The sequence below is a fragment of the Homo sapiens genome, chromosome 4 (assembly GCF_000001405.40).
Source record: "Homo sapiens chromosome 4, GRCh38.p14 Primary Assembly".
Lineage (NCBI taxonomy): Eukaryota > Metazoa > Chordata > Mammalia > Primates > Hominidae > Homo > Homo sapiens.
In genome coordinates, this window is record NC_000004.12 from 114456042 (window position 1) to 114474205 (window position 18164).

Here is an 18164-nt window from a genome sequence, read left to right on the forward strand (position 1 = left end):
ACCCACGTTTGGTAAATGAACAAAATTTGTAAGAGAATAGAGATAACATTGTTCCCACCCCACCCCCCAATAGGTCAGCTTCGCAAATTCATGGAGTATACCTTTTATTGGTTATAGGAAAGTGTTGAACAACTGTTGAGTCAATTTTCTGGAACAGAGTATTCTTAAACAGGATAAATTTTTATTCTACTAATATTAAATGAATAAGTTTTTGTTGCTAACCATATTAATGTCCCAGCTATTACCCTGAAATAATTTATGAAGCAGTCACAAAGGCAGTGTTTAAATATGCTGTAAGATATAAGGATAATTCTGCTATTAAACATTGATCAATCACATCTGTTATATATATACCCATCACATCTTAAATTTTTGAATTATGAGAGGTTGTACTATAAATCTGAAATTAAAACAACACAACTTTATTAGCTCAGATGCATTTTCATTACAAAAATGTAACTCATTGAGAATAATGCTTTTTTCTTCCTACTTAAACTGGAAAAGTTAGAAAGTATAATTATCCAAGCCCTTTATTTCAAGAAGTATCATTATTATTATTGTTATTATTATTTTTTTTTTTTTTGAGACGGAGTCTCGCTCTGTCACCCAGGCTGGAGTGCAGTGGCGTGATTTCGGCTCACTGCAAGCTCTGCCTCCCGGGTTCACGCCATTCTCCTGCCTCAGCCTTCCAAGTAGCTGGGACTACAGGCGCCTGCCACCACTCCCAGCTATTTTTTTGTATTTTTAGTGGAGACAGGGTTTCACCGTGTTAGCAGGATGGTCTCCATCTCCTGACCTCGTGATCCGCCCGCCTCGGCTTCCCAAAGTGCTGGGATTACAGGCATGAGCCACCATGCCCAGCCAAGAATTATCATTATTTTTATAATCACCTTTGATTAGAATATACTTTCATTTGGGCACACAAACCTAAAATTATATATGGTAAAGTTCTAAACTGAAAAAGAGTAAAGCTGTTTGTATAATCTTAATAGTAGCATTATCATCTATTAAAATTATATCAAGATTTAGAATTTGTTAGACAATTAATTATAGAAAACTTTGCATATGAGTAGATGAATGTATGTACTTTTCTCAAATTTTTTACCTTTTGGTAAACCATGTGTATAATTCAGTTTGTGCATTACATGTGTTCCATTACATATATACCAGGCTGGCTTCTATTATCATAGGGCCTCCTCTTATGAATTATGCTCCCAAACCATAGTAGCTATACTGACAAAAAAAAAAAAAACCCTCAACCCTGTAAAATATTTTTAAAAGTTTATTCTGAGCCAGATATGAGTAACAACAGCCCACGGCACAGTCTCAAGAAGTCCTGAGAAGCTGTGCTCAAGGTGATTGGGTTACAGCTTGATTTCATACATTTTAGGGAGACATAAGACATCAACTAATACATTTGAGGTAAACATTGGTTTGGCCTGGAAAGATGGGACAACTCAAAACAGGGGCGCGGAGAGGGTTATAGCTCATAGATGGATTTAAAGATTTTCTGATTGGCAGTTGGTTGAAAGAGCTAACTTATTATCTAAAAACCTGGAATCAACAGAAAGGAGTGTCTTGGTTAAGACAAGGGATTGTGGAGACCAAGGTTCTTATTACGTAGATGAGTCTCATAGGTGGCCTACCCTTAGAGACAAGAGTTGGCAAATATTTCCTATTCAGACTTTTAAAAGTTGCTAGACTTTTAGTTAATGTCTTCAGCGTTGGGAGGGACTGGAAGGGGGAAAGATCTAATTATGTTAATAAAGATTCTTTACAGATACAAATTTTCCCCCATGAAAGACTGCTTTGCAGGGTCATTTTAAAATATGAAAAACTGACATAATTGGGGGTAAAATATTTTGATTTCTTTATTTATCTGTCATGTGATATTATCTAGTATATCACATATCTAGTATGTGATATACTAGAGTCTGGCTGGAGTTTGGTATCTTATGGTTACAAAGAGTCTGTTTTGTCACTCTTATTATGATCTCGGTTTTAATGTTAATGCTGGTCAATTGTGCCTCAACTCCAAAGGGAGAAAAGTATAATGAGGCATGGCCTATCTCTTCCTTTCTATCATAGCCTGATGTAGTTTTTCAGGTTCCTTTGGGTCCCCTTGGCTGAGAGTGGAGTCCATTCGGTCAGCTGGGGGAATTTAGACTTTTACTTTTGGTTTACAGGTATGTGTTAAGGGAAAAAAAGTAAGATTTAATGTTAACATAATTAAAATGTGAGTATATTTCTTTGTATACATATAAACAAAAGGTACCAAATAGTAAACTAGTTAATTAACATCCATACAACTGACCACTTATTTTATTTACATATATAAAAACTTTGTTAGAAAAAGAAATTCAAATCAATAGTCATCCATATGTATAATTTATTATACTACACTTCCCCCCACTAGCTACTCACCTCAATTCTTAAAATTTAGTACTAATGTTTATGATGGAGGTTTACAGGTCATAACAACTAGCCTTTTGCTACTACTCATAAAAATAAACCCCTCAGAATCTATGCATTGTCTTTCGTTACAGTAGTGTATAATGTGGTTGGGGTCTTCATAACATTTATGCCATAGGGCCATATGTTGTTTTGAAATTAATCTTCCTTGGGGTGATTCATGTCAGTCATTTTAAGTACAAGCCTCAAGTTTTGATGGTACTCAGGAAAGATTTCTACCAAATGTCAACTTAAGCACTATCTGCAAGTGCCAGAAATTTTCCCAAGAATATTTTTGTTGTGAATTGAAATTCGGAACCCAGAGACTAGATTTTAAATGCAGGGAAAAACAGATAAGAGAGAGGAAGAGCAAATAATTCTCCCTGACAAGCACTTAATTAGCATCTTAATAGGGTATCTACACTCCTGAGAAGTTGTGCTGATGCATGCCCTATCTTAAAAGGGCACCATGCTAGAGTTTCTTTTCTCTTTTGTAAGAGGCTCTGGTTGTTTTTCTGCAATAGCAACTGAATGCTGAAGTAATATTTAGGTAATATCCTGAGAGATAAATCTCCTTTGCTGCTCAAAAGGCACTGGAATCATTAGAATAACTGTCAGGATAAGTGGCGAATTAAGTGAAGTAAACCTATTGGGAAGGGTTTATTATTACTCTGTTTTAGATCTATATTTTCCTTGTCTTGGTATTTGTGTCTTATTCTAGGTGAATAACAACATCAAGAAGAAAATGGAAGCTATCAGAAAAGCCTCTACCATCCCCACCACATCTACCTGTCTACCTGTGTGTGTTCCTAAACTCCAGCTTCTCTCATGAAAGAACTCTCCATGCATCTGGCTTAAGGTCATCCCATCCCTGATCTCCACTTAAGGTAATTGTTCCAGCAATTATCCTTCCCTCTTGCATCCTTGATTTTTCCTTTCCTAAGAAATCATACCATCAGCATACAAATATACTGTTATTTCTCCCATCTTAAAACAAAGAGCAAAAAGACTCCTCAAAAACCTTTGTTTCCACTTTCTCTTCTAGTTTGTGCACCATTTCTCTACTAATAATTGGAGCAAAACTCCTTGAAAGAGTTCCGCATACTTCCTATATTTCCCAATGTCCTCCTCCTATTTTCTCTCAAACACTTTTTATTCATTTCTTTTGTCCCCACTTCTCCCTCAGAACTATTCTTAGCAAGGTTATGATAACCTCCACGTTGTTAAATCCTACAGTGATTTCTCAATGCTCAATTTTCTTGACCTGTCAATACAAGTTAACAGAATTAGATTTCTCCTCCCTTTAACACTTGCTTCATTTGGCATCCAGGACACGACATTCACCTGGTTATGCCTTGTAAGTCCCTTTGCTGTTTTCTCCTTTTCTCTCAGGCATCTTAGTGTCAAAAGCCTCTTTTCTCTATTTTTACTTATTCCTTTGGTAATCTTATCCAGTCTCATGATTCAGAATATCATGTATATGCTGAAGGCTTTAAAGTTAATGTCTCTACCTTAAATCTCTCCACTGAATTTTGAGTCATCTGCCTACTTTGAATGTTCAATAAGCATCGCACATCTTGGGAGGATTCCTTGATCCCAGGAGTTTCAGACCCTGAAAAAAAAAAAAAAGAAGGCGGGGCATCTCAAGTTGACCATGACCACACTTAGTTCTTAATGTCTCCCAGAAAACCTGTCTTTCCTGTAGTTTTCCTCATCAAAATTTATGGAAACTCCATACCTTCAGTTGCCAAGGACCAAAATGGTTGGTTTTATCTTTGATTTTTCTGTCTTTTTCACCCCACATTCGAGGCAAATTCTATTGATTATATGATCACAATATATCTGTGAATCAAATACTTCTCATCTCCTTACCTACTACCACCAGTGTCTAACAACCCATTTCATGACTGTATTATTCTAATAGTCTTTTCATTGTCCTTCTTCCTTCTACCTTTGACCTCCACCCTACTTCAAGCCCTGTAGTTTATTCTCAAGAAAGCACCCAGGAATCCTGTAAAAAAAGAAAAAAAGTCCAATCATGTCATTCTAATGCTAAAAAGTCCATAAAGTCTTCTCATTTCAGTTGGAGTAAATGCTGAAGTCTTTAACATGACATATTAGACCCGATAGGACTCTCCTCTCATTTCTGCAACATCTTCTGCTATTATTTTTTTTTTCTTGTTCACTGTGCTTCAGCCATGCAGGTCTCCTCACTGTTACTTTATGCACCCTCCTGCAACAGAGCATTGGCTCTTGGTATTCCTTTTGCCGACAAGGCTCTTCACTTAGAGGTTCACGTGCTCAGCTCCCTTACTTCAGTCATGTCTCTAGGGTCACCTGCTCAAGAAAACCTTGACTGAACACTCTATTTAAGCTTTTACTATTCCCCAACTCCCTCTGCTAAGCTCCCTATTCTCCCTTGTTGCTCTATTTTTCTCTTTAGCATTTGCCACCATATTTACTTATTTATCTTGGTTATTGTCTACACTAGAATGTGATGGAGAATGGAAATGTTTCTGTTTTCTACACTGCCTGACGCATTGTGGTCAATTAATTTTTTTAAATAAAAAAGTAATACTTATTATTGCTACTTATTGGGTTTGCACACAAGATAAAGGAAATGATAGCTCAGTCTATCAGCAGCATGTTTACAATCAGGTAAGTTTGCTTGCTCATAGTCTCTAAGTCAGAACCCTGGTGCTACAGATTGAATGTGTCTCTCAAATTTCATGTGCTAAAAATGTAATCCTCAAATTTGTATGTTCACAAGTGGTGGAATATTTAAGAGGTAATCAGGATTAGATAAGGTGATTGGTGTGATGGGACCAGTGGCTTTATAAGTAAAGGAAGACAGACCTGAGCTGGCATACATGCTCTTGCCCTCTCACCACATGATGCCCTCTGCTATGGCTTGCTGCAGCAAAAGGGCTCTTGTCAGATGCAGACCTGTCAACCTGGGACTTCCTGACCTCCAGAATTGTGAGCTAAATAAAGTTGTATTCTTTGTAACATATCCAGTCAGCAGTATTCAGTTATAGCAACAGAAAATGGACTACGACACCTGTGTTTATATATATAAAAATATATTAACTGGTATGTTATTTTAACTGGTATTGTTATATTTTAGTGGTAGTATTAAGATATAATTAGGCAAATGGTGGCAATTGAAAATAGCCCGTAGGAAAGGAGAATAGCTCAGAGAAGTCTGAAAATATGAGGTATGCAAAATGTATTAGGCCGAGAGAGACAAGAGTATGTGACTGAAGTCATCTTCCTCCCACCCATGCCTGGGGCACTTGTTTTTGTTTTTGGATTTTTTTTTGAGACAGGGTCTCACTCTATCACCCTGCTGGCTAGAGCACAGTGGCACAATCGTAGCTCCCCTTAACCTTAACCTCCTGGGCTTGGGTGATCTACCCACCTCAGCATTCTGAGTAGCTGTGACTACAGATGTGCACCACCCTGCCCGTCTAATTTTTTGTATTTTTATTAGAGATAGAGTTTTGCCATATTGCCCAAGCTGTTCTTAAATTCCTGGGCTCAACCAATCTGTCCACCTCAGCCTCCCAAAGTGCTGGGATTACAGGCGTGAGCCACCGCGCCCAGCCAGGCAATTGTTTCAAAGCATTTTTTTCTTTTTACCCCTCCCTATAGTTTCCAGACTGATAAATTAACTACATAATTTATAAATTTATAATAACTGATAAATTACCTAAAATGTTACCACAGGTTGCACAATGTGACCCTCACTCATTATCTTCATGTTCCTGAAATTAGTGATACAAAGAACAATGTATAGCCAATTAATAGCTTATGTTATTTTAATGTAAACACTTGGTATAAAAACTTAAAAACTGCCCCTTTTTTTTCCATTTAAAACCCACTCACGATTTAATGAAGAGAATGGATTAATCCAAAAGAACGAATCTTCTCAAGAAGAAACTTTGTCAGCACTCAAAAGAAACAATGTTTTTTATATGTAGTTCTCATAATTGTTTGTGGTAATTAAAAAAAAATCATTGACGAATTTTGTTATGGTTTTCTACAGTTTTATAAACAAATGGTACGTCTCATATATAAACCAATATTTTTGTATCTAAAGTCAGTGTAATCTCAATGTCCTAGCCTTGTGTATTGTAGCCACTCATGAATATTTGTTGAATTAGTAAATAAAGATTAATACCTAACCTCAAAATATGAATCTAAGGAAGTAGGCATTCATATAAGTACAGCTAATATTTAGCTAAGAAACTTGTGTAAAATTAACATCATTGATAATCTTTGTGAGGTTAAGTATACACATGTGTTAAAGAGAAGAAGCATATTTTTAAGCCAAGTTACAGAACAGATATTCAAATAGAGAATGTTTTCTGAGTTTTTGTGAGCACATGAAATTATCAACCTGCAAAATGCCTTACTTCCAACTATAGACCGTATTAGGACTTTCACTGATACCGACATTTACTTTTAGGATTTCTAGGATTCTGTAGTCAAGTTTTAAAAGTTACTTTTGCAGCACAGTTAGACTTAACTTTGAATCGTATCTACCTGTCATCACTAAAGCAAAAAACAGCTGTAAGAATAAATAAGAGGAAAATATAGGTTCTCACTGTGAAACTGGATGACAGGAACCTACTTAAACAAGACAAAAAAAATTGACACTTTGGATTTTTTTCACTAAAATAAAAATCCATGAATTATACCACAGCAGGAAAAAAATGGAAAGTTCTCATAAGGCAGAAAAATGGCCACCAATTTCAAATGAGGAAAAAAGTGTCCTGTTTCATAGTAATTTAATTATTTAAAGAGAATATCTCAAAAAGGTTTTATAGATATATAGGCTAAAAGACTAAAACTCCAACAATTCACTTTGGGCGTTTTTGTTTCACTCTTATATTTGTTCTTCAAAGGAAAAAAAACAAGAAGAAGCAAACTCAAGGAAGATATTATCTATATACCGTATGATATAGTCCTTCCACAAATATGTGTAGATCACCTAAAATATGGCAGGCACAAGTACTTATTAAAAGCCTACTATTTGCTAAGTTGTGAACTAGATGCTGAAAATATAAGTACACACAAGACCAGTCGCTTATCTCAAGGAGTTTAAAGTATGCAGATGCCCACGTGGACACAAGATACAGAGATACAAGATACAGCATGTGCACTTGCACTTCCTGTCCTTAAGGAATCACCTTGAAAGGGTACCAGAAAGCTTTTAAAATGGTTCTCTTTAGAATCCTAAGCACATATTGTAATATTCCAAATGGAAGCATATGACAACTTCTCTATATTTCTCCTCTTTGCCTCAACTAAAACCTGGCTGGTCTTCAAATACCAAATACCTTCAAATAGTCCTTTCAAGAACAAGCTTATTCGTTGTCCCACACCCCAAATTCCTAAAGCAATTGCAACATTATCTCAATTTCTCTTTGCCAGTTCTAGATCATTATTTTTCTATATTTATGCAAGAAAAACCCCTTCATCCTTTAAAACTTACAGCATCCAAATTTGGTACCCTCTAAATTTTCTCCTTTCTGACATGTTTCTGATAATTCAATCTTCCCTCATATTCATTGAGGAGTTTGGCCCATGGTTTACATTCTTCTTTCCATCTTATTTTTCTTCATTCTTCTGGAAGATTTCCATATGCAAGCAGTGATTCTAACCAACCACCTAGTCACGATGTTTATTGTGATCTTCAAATTCAATCACTTCCATCTCTATTTTGGTTTAATACACACTCCCATCTCAGCACGCAGAAAGTTACCATATGAAAGCTCCCAACCCCTAAATTTTAAGGTTCTGTTCCACAATGCTTTCATTCATCTAACCCCCTTCTCTTCTAGCTTTCTAAATCTTTTTTGCCCAGAATCCTTGCTGAACTGAGATCTTTAGTCGCCCTGTCTTTCCCCTTATTGACTACCTTCTCTATGCTTTGGACATTTTGAAGTTCATAACTTCCCACGCTTTCTCTCCTAAATTCTTCATCCCATGTCTTTCTTTTGTTTATTTGTTTTTGTTTTTGTTTTGAGACGGAGTCTCACTCTGTCATCCAGGCTGGAGTGCAGTGGCGTGATCTCGGCTCACTACAATCTACACCTCTCAGGTTCAAGCAATTCTCCTGCCTCAGCCTCCCGAGTACCAGGATTACAGGTGTCTGCCACTGCGCCCTGGTAATTTTTGTGTTTTTAGTAGAAACAGGGTTTTGCTATCTTGGCCAGGCTGGTCTTAAACTCCTGACCTCAAATGATCCACCTGCCTCGGCCTCCCAAAGTGCTAGGATTACAGGTGTGAGGCACTGCCCCTGCCCGTGTCTTTCTTTTCTATGGTAGTTCCCAAACTGTCAGTCTTCCCCCTCACTTCATAAGCTCTCACATTGCTGCTGAGCAATGCCAGAGAAAATGTAACAACCACGTGGCTATTGGCAGTAAAAGTGCATGCTCACTGACTCAGGTCCTTCAGTCCAGATCAACAGAAAGCATTATTGGTCAGCTACTTCTCCCATTTCTGCTCTCCTTCTTCCAACTCCAACAAGTACCAAGACAATCTGCCGCCCCTCTCATCTTATGCTGACCTGGCTTTTTATTATCTGGTGCTATGCTTTACACTTCGGTGTGAAGTGTCCTCCCTTTATCATCATTATTTCATTTTCACTTTCAGAAAAAGAAATGCCAATAATCTGAGTCCAATGCATCCCTTTGCTCCATTATCTCTTCATGTGTTGGCTTCTTTATAGCATATGAATATGGTTATCGCTTCCATTTGCGGAAAAAAATTCCCTCCTTGACACTTTACATCATTATAATACCCAAACTTCTTTCTGGTTTTTTTTTTTTTTTTTTTGGCTTAAAAATCAAATTTCTTGAAAGCATAATTTATATGCATTCACTACATTTCCTCACATATCATTCACTTCTCATTTTCCAAGTATATTACTTCTGTACCCAAAATGCCCTCAAATATTTGGGGCCTTTGCTATGCCTAGAATGCCTGTTAGTCACCTTTCACCCATAACCATACTCTGTATTAAGGAGTACTTACTACACTGCTTTGTAACTTCTTGTTTGTTTATGTCCTTTAACAAACATACAGGAGCCATGTTTTTCAAAACTATAGTTTCCCTGACAAACACAGTGCCTATATCATAGCAGGTGGTAAAATAATATTAAAATGAGTGACTAGACCACTACAGATAATAAAATTATAGTATATTATTTCTACGAATTCATAGAAATCTATCACTGAAAGGATGTTAAAATCATTTAACTTCCCAATTTTCTGATACCCCCAAAAGTATTACCTCTGTTAGTTACATACTAGTAACTTTATAAGGTAATTTCCCTAAGTCTCCTCATAGGTAAACAGACTCTAGTCCAACACTATTCTGAAATGCACTTATTCTAAGTACAGTTTTCAAACACACAAAGTGCATGGCACATTGTAAGTGAATGCTAATACACTAGACTGAGGAAGGTCACGGTGTGGTCATTTATTTAGATTATTTGATTCCTATCTTTGAAGTACTTTAGAGCAGTTATGAATGAATGAATAATGAATGAGTGAGTGAGTAGAGGCTAGATTTGCTGCCAATTGTAAAAAGTTCTAATTTTTCCCCACCTCATTTTATGTTATGAGTTGCAAATATCAAATAAGAAGAGAAAATGTTAAACCCTTTGTGATTTTGTGAGGGAGAATGAGAATGATAGGGGTCAGGTGTTATAATCAAAATAAAATGAATATGTTCCAAAGAAGGTTCTAATTTTATATGACTATACCAAGAAATAAAAGTTAAATTGATGAAGCATGAAAAAAATGTGCAGCACTGTTTTGGGTTAATTCTATCTCTTTTTATTTTCTCTGCATATTGGACTCTGCTGTATTTATACTGCTCAGGCTATCAGTTTCCTAAAGCAGTTGAATAAGCCCCAGAGGACAAAGGTATCACTCTGAAGGGCGTGAGCTTTGCAGTAGGAAAGCTGATGGTGTTCTATTCTGTTGACTCAGTATCTCCTCAGACCAGATGAGTGAGAGAAACAGCCTGTCAGCAAATTTAGTGCTACTGCACACTCTCATGCCAAATCAAGCAGGTCCATAGTATCTCCAGAATTCCCTATATATGGATAATATCTCCAACTGGAAGGTAAAGCTGAAAACACCATTAACTGATCTACAGAAATTTTCTCACTTTTAAATATGGGTTTCTATACAAGAGTGTATGTATGACCTCAGGCAATGATGAAATAGTTAATAGGATCGTGCTCCATAATATGTAACCTAAAGTATCCAACCCCATCATTTAAACAGAATCATACCCAAATGTCCAATGCCTAAAATAATAGGACTTTAAAATTAGAATTTGCAAACACAATGGCACTTCAGTGAAATGAAATTTCAGTGAAATGAAGCTTCAGTGAAAATGAAATTACATCTACGTGGTATATTCTGTGAAATAGAAAATGCTCTAGTAAGTTTTAGAAAAAGTTTCAGCTATGAAAAAAGGTAACAGAGCCTTCCATAATGAAGGTTTTCTGCTTAAGCCTTAGACAGCCAAACAACTAAATTGACATTATATTGTCCTGACTTTCAAATTATATAGGATTTTACTGTACTTTTCAAGTTCAGCAATATCAGTTCTGAGACTCTGTGTGGAGTCAATAAAATGAAGAACATTAAGTTGACTGTGGCTGTGCCTACTAAATATGCACCTTACAGGGACATTGTTTCCCCTTCAGACAGAATTTTATTGAAATATTTCAGAAAAATTGAATTCTATACTTACTAAAAGTTTCTATAAATTGTACTAGGATTTCTCACCATTAATAAATAACTGCATTAATAACTTTGATTCTAAAGAAAATTATTCATCTTTCTGCAGGTAGTGGAGTTTAATGAATCATCATTTGTTATACAATAACCTTTGTTTTATGTGTTTGAAGTAATTTTACCCTCCTGGTTTTCCCCACAAAGTTTCCAGTTTCCATAATGGTCTTTCTAATCACCTTCTCTGATTATAAAATTAAAAAGCAACAATCAGATACAATCAGAGAAATTTCTACTATTTTAACATTTTTTCTGATGTTACCTATTTACTACCAAATATATAAAGAATAGCTTAGTACAATTTTAAAAAGTAGACACTGACATTAAATTCAAAGTTTTTTCAACCTAATATAGGAAATAAGGATGCACTATACAAATACAGTATACAGTAGAATGAGACTCATGCCATAAAAGCAGTGGCAAAAACATCATGACAATTTAAAAAAGGGAAAGATAGTATCTATCTGTATAGATCAGGGCAGGCTTCACAGAAAAGAAAAGATAGGATTTTTCAGGCAACAATTGGAAGAAAACATTTTAGTAAGAACGCAGGCAAATACACACAGGTTTGATAATAATGGGTGTTTAGAGAAAGGAGTAAGTAGTTCTTTTCCTTAAACATAAAATACAAAGGTCAAAAATAAAGTTGAAATGAAATATTACGAATATTTTATCATCAAAAATATAAAAATATAATAATATATTTCCCTCCATGCTCACCTGCATGTATATAAAATGCAATCTCTGGTTAATTTTCTGAGACATTCTCTCAGGAAAATTGTATTCATTGAGATACCAGGTTCTGATAACTTGTAATGGGGCAAGTATTTTTGACACTACACCTTTTAGAGTATGAGAAAAATTAAATACAATTATTCAGTGACACTTGGACAGCAATAAAATGTTTAGAAATCCACTTGCATTTGAGCACCTACAGTGTTCATATAATTTGGCTCTGTTGCTGATAGTTGTCTCTTCAGTTTAGGTATCTAGTTTAAGGATCAGAAGACAATTAACAATTAATAACAAGCTCAAATGGCTTCCCTCTTATTGTTTCTATGGTATTAGCTGGTTGGTTCAGCTACTTTACATCAATACTGCTAAATCAAAACAAAGGTTAATAAACAAGAAGGAAAAGAACAAGGGTGTTTTTAAAAATCCACAGCATTTGGTTTTTTTCTTTGTTATATAATTATTTTCAAGGTTACAGAAGTGAGCAATTGCCTTAAAAATATTCCAGTTTCTTAAGTGATGTAAATGTCTCATGGATACAGTCCATTTCAATCATTGGAAAAGGAAACTTTTACCCAGATGTATTGAAACTACAATAGAGAGAAACATAGATCCCAAAACCAATTTAATTTTTATCTCACTTTACATATTCAGACCAACTTTAAAAGCCGTGTTTTTATTTTGTAATTTTTTGGCTTGTTTTTCTAACATGTTTAGAAACACCTTGATGAATGAAGAAGAGGGTGTCAGTGTGTTAGATATATCCTAGAACTTTCTTTTTTAACTTCTCTAAATAATTAATAATTGGGATTTAAATAGTATATGTTCATAAATGCCTTATCTTCCATTTTCCTACATAAGATTTATTTCAAAAAAACGTGGCTTGCTCTCACTGGATTTTAAATTCCAAAAAGAAGCAAAACAAATGATAAATTTTTAAAAATGCCATCATGCAATGATAATGTGTGGCAAAACAACCAATTATGTCTTACACAAAATATGTCTTCCAGTTCCACTTATAGTTCTCTTATCTTTAGAGATTATGAAAGAAGAGTAAATGCCAGTTTGTATATGACGATTTTCCTAAAGTACACCATTGCAATTGTGTTGATCTCATTTTGGAAATCTAAGAAGGAAAAGACACACTTCACTTGAGTACATGGATTTTGAATATAGCATGTATTAGACACAGTTTTGGACTAGCCTGAGATATCTGGCCGTAATAATGTTTTCATTTGAGATATTGTTACTTTTTCCCCTAGGTAAGATAAAAACAATTGAGCCACCAATAAATAAATAAGCAGCTGCCTTCCTGAATCTAATAAAGGTTCTGCTAAAAAGTAAGCACCCAGTTTGATACAACAACCTTAATCTCAAACTAAATTCAGCTAGCTTTTTATGGAAATGAGAAAAGAGTGACAATCATTACAAAAAATCTGAGCTATTCATTTATTTATTTACTTAAACAATTATTGAAAATTGACTATGTGCCTAGTATTGTTCTAGGGGATAAACCATAAGTTTAAGAACATGATTGATTTATTTCATAAAAGGGTAACTATTGTTACTGTGACATAATAAAAAAATATATATTTAGTCTCTGTCCCCTCATCTCCTTCTCCCTGCTTGTTTTCTGGCACAGAGTTCCTAAAACGCTTGGAATCTCCAAAATGATGTGTCTTTTTGTATGCTCATAAGATGCCTGGTATCAGGCGCTCCTGGATAGTCTCAGGATGGTGTTGGTTACCCCTCCTATGTGATTAGAGGGTTAGAACTTTTAGCCCCATCCCCTACCTCCAGGGAGGGGAGAGGGACTAGTATTGACTTAATCCCCCATGGCCAGTTACTTAATCAATTATGACTCTATAATGAAGCCTCCATAAAACACACACACACACACACACACACACACACACACACACACACACACGAGAACAAGGTTTGAAAATCTTCCAGGTTGCTGAACACGTGAAGGTGCTGGGAAGGTGGCATGGCTGGTGAAAACACAGAAGCTCTGCACCTCTTCTCACATAACTTGCCCTATGTACCTCTTCATCTCACTGTTTACCTGTATCCTTTGTAATCTCGTTTATAGTAAACTGGTAAACTTAAGTGTTTGCCTAAGTTCTGCAACCTCTTCTGGAAAATGATCAAACACAAGGAGAGGGTTATGGGAACCTCCTGTTTGTAGCCAAGTCAGACAGAAGTTTTGGTGAGCCCGGAGACCCACCACTTGAGATTGGCATCTGAGGTGGGAGCCAACCTTGTGGGCCTGAGCCCTTAACCTCCGGGGTCTGCACTAACTCAGGTTAGTACCAGAATTCAATTGAATTGTAGGATGTGCGGCTGGTATTGGAGAATTTTCAGTGTGGGACAAAAACTCCACACATCTAGTGTGTCAGAAGGAAGTGTTCTGGAAGTATGAAGTTTTGTCTTAATAAAAGTGTTTTCTCTATTTCTATGCAAGGAATTACTGATTACAATTGGGTTTAAGTCGATTATCTCATTATGTTTTTAATCTAATTACCACATCTATTTTTGTTTCCTTACTCTCCTTTCCTTCATTTGTATTACTCAGTGTATCTTATTACTAATTTTTGAAGTATCTTTATTTTCTCCTTTTTAATATCATTTTTGAAATGATTACCCTAGAAATTTTCAGATGAATTCTTAATTACAAATGACCTGGTTTGGGTAATTTCTTCACACATGTGCATCGGTTAGAACCCAACCGAAGGCTCAGTGTTCCTTTGCAGGTCTCTGTAGCCCTCACTTTCTGAAGCTATCTGCTCTCTAGTATCCCTTCTGGTGAGTTCTAGACTTCTTGCCTCCTCTCCCTGCCTGAATTCTAACTTTATCGCTTCAATTCAAAGAGACTGCAGTCTGTACCTGGTTTCATTCTCCCTCCTCCGTGGCATGAAAATTTTCTCCAGGCAGTAAACTAGGATAAGCATGGGGCTTACCTTATTTGTTTCCCTATTGTTAGGAATGAGTATTCTGAACATTTTGACGCTCCATGTCTGAAAAACATTGTTATTTCCATTGTTAAAGGTGATAACAGTACATCCAGGCCAAGTTACTCATCTTATTTGGAGGTAGAGGTCTCCCAGCGTGTTGTTTTCTTTTTAAAACTTTTTTAGTATTTGCTTATACATATATATATGCACATACATTGGCCACCTTTTTACTGTTAATCTACTTGTCTGTATGTTCTAAGTGAATATATTTTGTGAACAACACGGGTCTGTTTTTATCCAATCTGAAAATTTCTGCCTTGTACTTGGAGTGTTTAGACTATTTATAATTCACGTAATTATCGATGTTATTAGATTTACATCTAGTACCCTGCTATTTGTTTTCTATTTGTCTCATCTATTCTTTGTTCATTTCTTATCTTTGTTTTACTTCTTTAGATTGGGTCTATTTTGTCATTCAATTTTATCATCACAAATGGCTCATTCACTTTATCTTTTTTATTTTTCAGTTGGCCAATGGGTTACAATATAACAATTTCATATTATTACAATTTATTTTCAAATAATATTATATGAATTTGCATATAGCATAAGAACCTCATAACAGTATATTTTCATTTTCCTCCTCTGCCCTTCATGGTACTACTGTAATACTTTTTACTTCTATATATATATTATAAAGTACAGAGTAAATTGTTATTTTTAAGCTATCAATATTTTTTTACATAGATCAAATAATGAGAAGAAAAACTCTTGTATGTTTATTTATATTTTTACCATTGCTAATTGTGTGTGTGTGTGTGTGTGTGTGTGTGTGTGTGTGTGTGTGTGTGTTTAGATCCCAATTTCACTCTGGTAACATTTTCCTATTCCCTAAGTCTTTGGACTGAATTTTGCTTCACTACCCTCCCCCACCCAGTTGTATATATTGACGTTCTAACTCCCAGTACATATCAGAATGTTACTGATAGTTGCAGGAAACAGACAAATTCCTAGGTAGACAGGCGCAGGTCCCTGGTGAAACCCAACCTTCCAGCCAGAAGACAGCCTGAAGCCTGCAAACTGGGCTGCCAGTCCCAGGTAGTATCCGCAACCTGGATTGAGAACTTCCTCAATGCCTTTTAGCCAACCGAATGGTGCTTTTTCCAGGCCCACCAATGGATCAATCAGCATGCACTCCCCCATGCTGAGTCCATAAAAACCCCAGACTCAGCCACATGTTGGGACTACTTGCCCTCAGGTAGAGTGAGAGCTGTTCTGTCACTCAGTAAAATTCTTCTCTGCCTTGCTTACTCTCTGGTTGTCCATGTAACCTCATTCTTCTTGGGACAAGAACCCGGAACCTGCCAAACAGAACATGGGAAAGGAACTGTAACACTGTACCCCGCCTGCTCTCTGACAGTGCCGGGCAGCCACCCCACATGACAGGAAGTGGCAACAGGGCTGGGCCAGCCCAGGAGACCTGGGCCAGTGGGACCAAACCAGCTGTAATAATAACAAGATGAAACACACCCCCCACCCACCCCATTTGCCACACTGAGGACAGAAGAAATGAACAAGCTGTGAAATGCTGAGGCTCCATGGTTGCTGGCATCTCCAAGTTTTCGGGCACTACCATGTTCCCCTCATCCAGATGCCAGCACCTAAGGCAGAAGCCATTTGCGGTACTCCTGGTCCAGCTGCAGCCTCACACAGAGCCTGAACCTGTGCCAGCACATGGAGCTGCCCACCTCACCACAGTAGCTGGCACTCTTGACTGTGTGCTGTGGCCAGACCCTGCGCTCACTCACTCACATGCCCCTCCCTGCTCTGTGCCTGGCTCACCCTAAGTGGGCATGGGATCTAGGCTAGTAATGTGGGCTGAGCGCAGCTGTCGGGCTGAGTGGGTGGAATAAGCCCAGCAGATATGAGTGAAACTTGAGCAGAAGCACCACCAGCCACAGAGGTTTCCGGCTGGCAAAGTGGCACCCAAAGGATCCTGTGTCATTACTATAGTTGGAGATAGGACCTTCAAAGAGGTAATTAAGTTTAAATGAAGTCAATGAGCAGGCCCTAATCTAATATGATTCGTGTCCTTATAGAAACAGAAATACCAGAGATGTATGCACACAGAGAAAAAGCTGTGTGATGGCACAGCAAGAAGGTGGCCATTTTGGAAGCCAAGATAGAAGTATTAGAAGAAACCAAACCTGCTGACAGCTAGGTCTCGGACTTCCAGCCTCCAGAACTGTTAGAAAATAAATTCTATTGTTTAAGCCACTCAGTCTATGATATTTTGTTATGGCAGTCTTAGCAAACTGATACACTAGGAATTTCCTTTAATAGTGTTTGACATGCATATCTGCTGGAGATTAATCTCACTATCTTTGTATGTATGAAAAATTTCCCCTTCATTGTTGAAAGATATTTTTGCTGGTAAGGAATTGTGGGTGGACTTTTTTCTTAAGTACTTTAAGACTGTTGTTTCATTGTCCTATGGCTTGCATTAGTTTGTTATTATCCATGCTTCTCTGTATAAAATGTTTCTTTTTCTCTGGCTGTTTTTAAGATTTTTCTTTTCATTACTGGTCTTAAGCAATTTGTGATGTCCCTTGGTGAAGTTTTCTTTGTGTTAATACCCCTTGGGATTTGCTGAACTTCTTGGACATGCAAATTTATATTTTATATCAAATTTAGAAAATTATCAGCATTAATATCTTTTCCATACTTTCCCCTTTTTCTAGACCTCTAATTATGTTTGTTAGGCTACTTGATAATGTAATTGATATGCTTTTTAATCCTTGAAGTGTTAATTTTTTTTTCTTACATCACTTTGAAATGTTTCCATGCTATGTCTTTAACATCATTGATCTTCTGCAGTGTCTAATCTGCTATTAATGTCTTCCTACTTTGGATTTTTAAATATCTTCCATTTCTTTCCTCATCATCATTGTATTTCCCTCTATCTTGTTGAACATATGGAGCATATTTTAAAAGCTATTTTAACATTCTTATTTTTTAATTTTATTGCCCCATTTTTTGCAGGTCTTCTATTGATTGATTTTTTCCTCTGAATTATTAATAATATATTTCTGTTTCTTTGCATACCTGTTAACTTTTTTGGATCAAATACATTGAATATAGTATGATTCTGATTGCTGTACATTATATATAGTATGATTCTGATTGCTGTCTGATGGGAAC

At 36.4% G+C, this 18164-nt stretch overlaps 1 long non-coding RNA gene across 1 annotated transcript in view; it reads left to right on the forward strand.

The window, feature by feature from the left end:
- The first annotated feature begins 2070 nt into the window (after window positions 1-2070).
- Window positions 2071-18164, forward strand: part of LOC105377379 (uncharacterized) — a 35996-nt gene continuing 19902 nt past the window's right edge. Inside the window, exons 1-2 of the long non-coding RNA XR_001741520.3 lie at window positions 2071-2186; window positions 3173-3338. This is a non-coding gene — a long non-coding RNA (uncharacterized LOC105377379). The remainder of the gene's footprint in view (window positions 2187-3172; window positions 3339-18164) is intronic.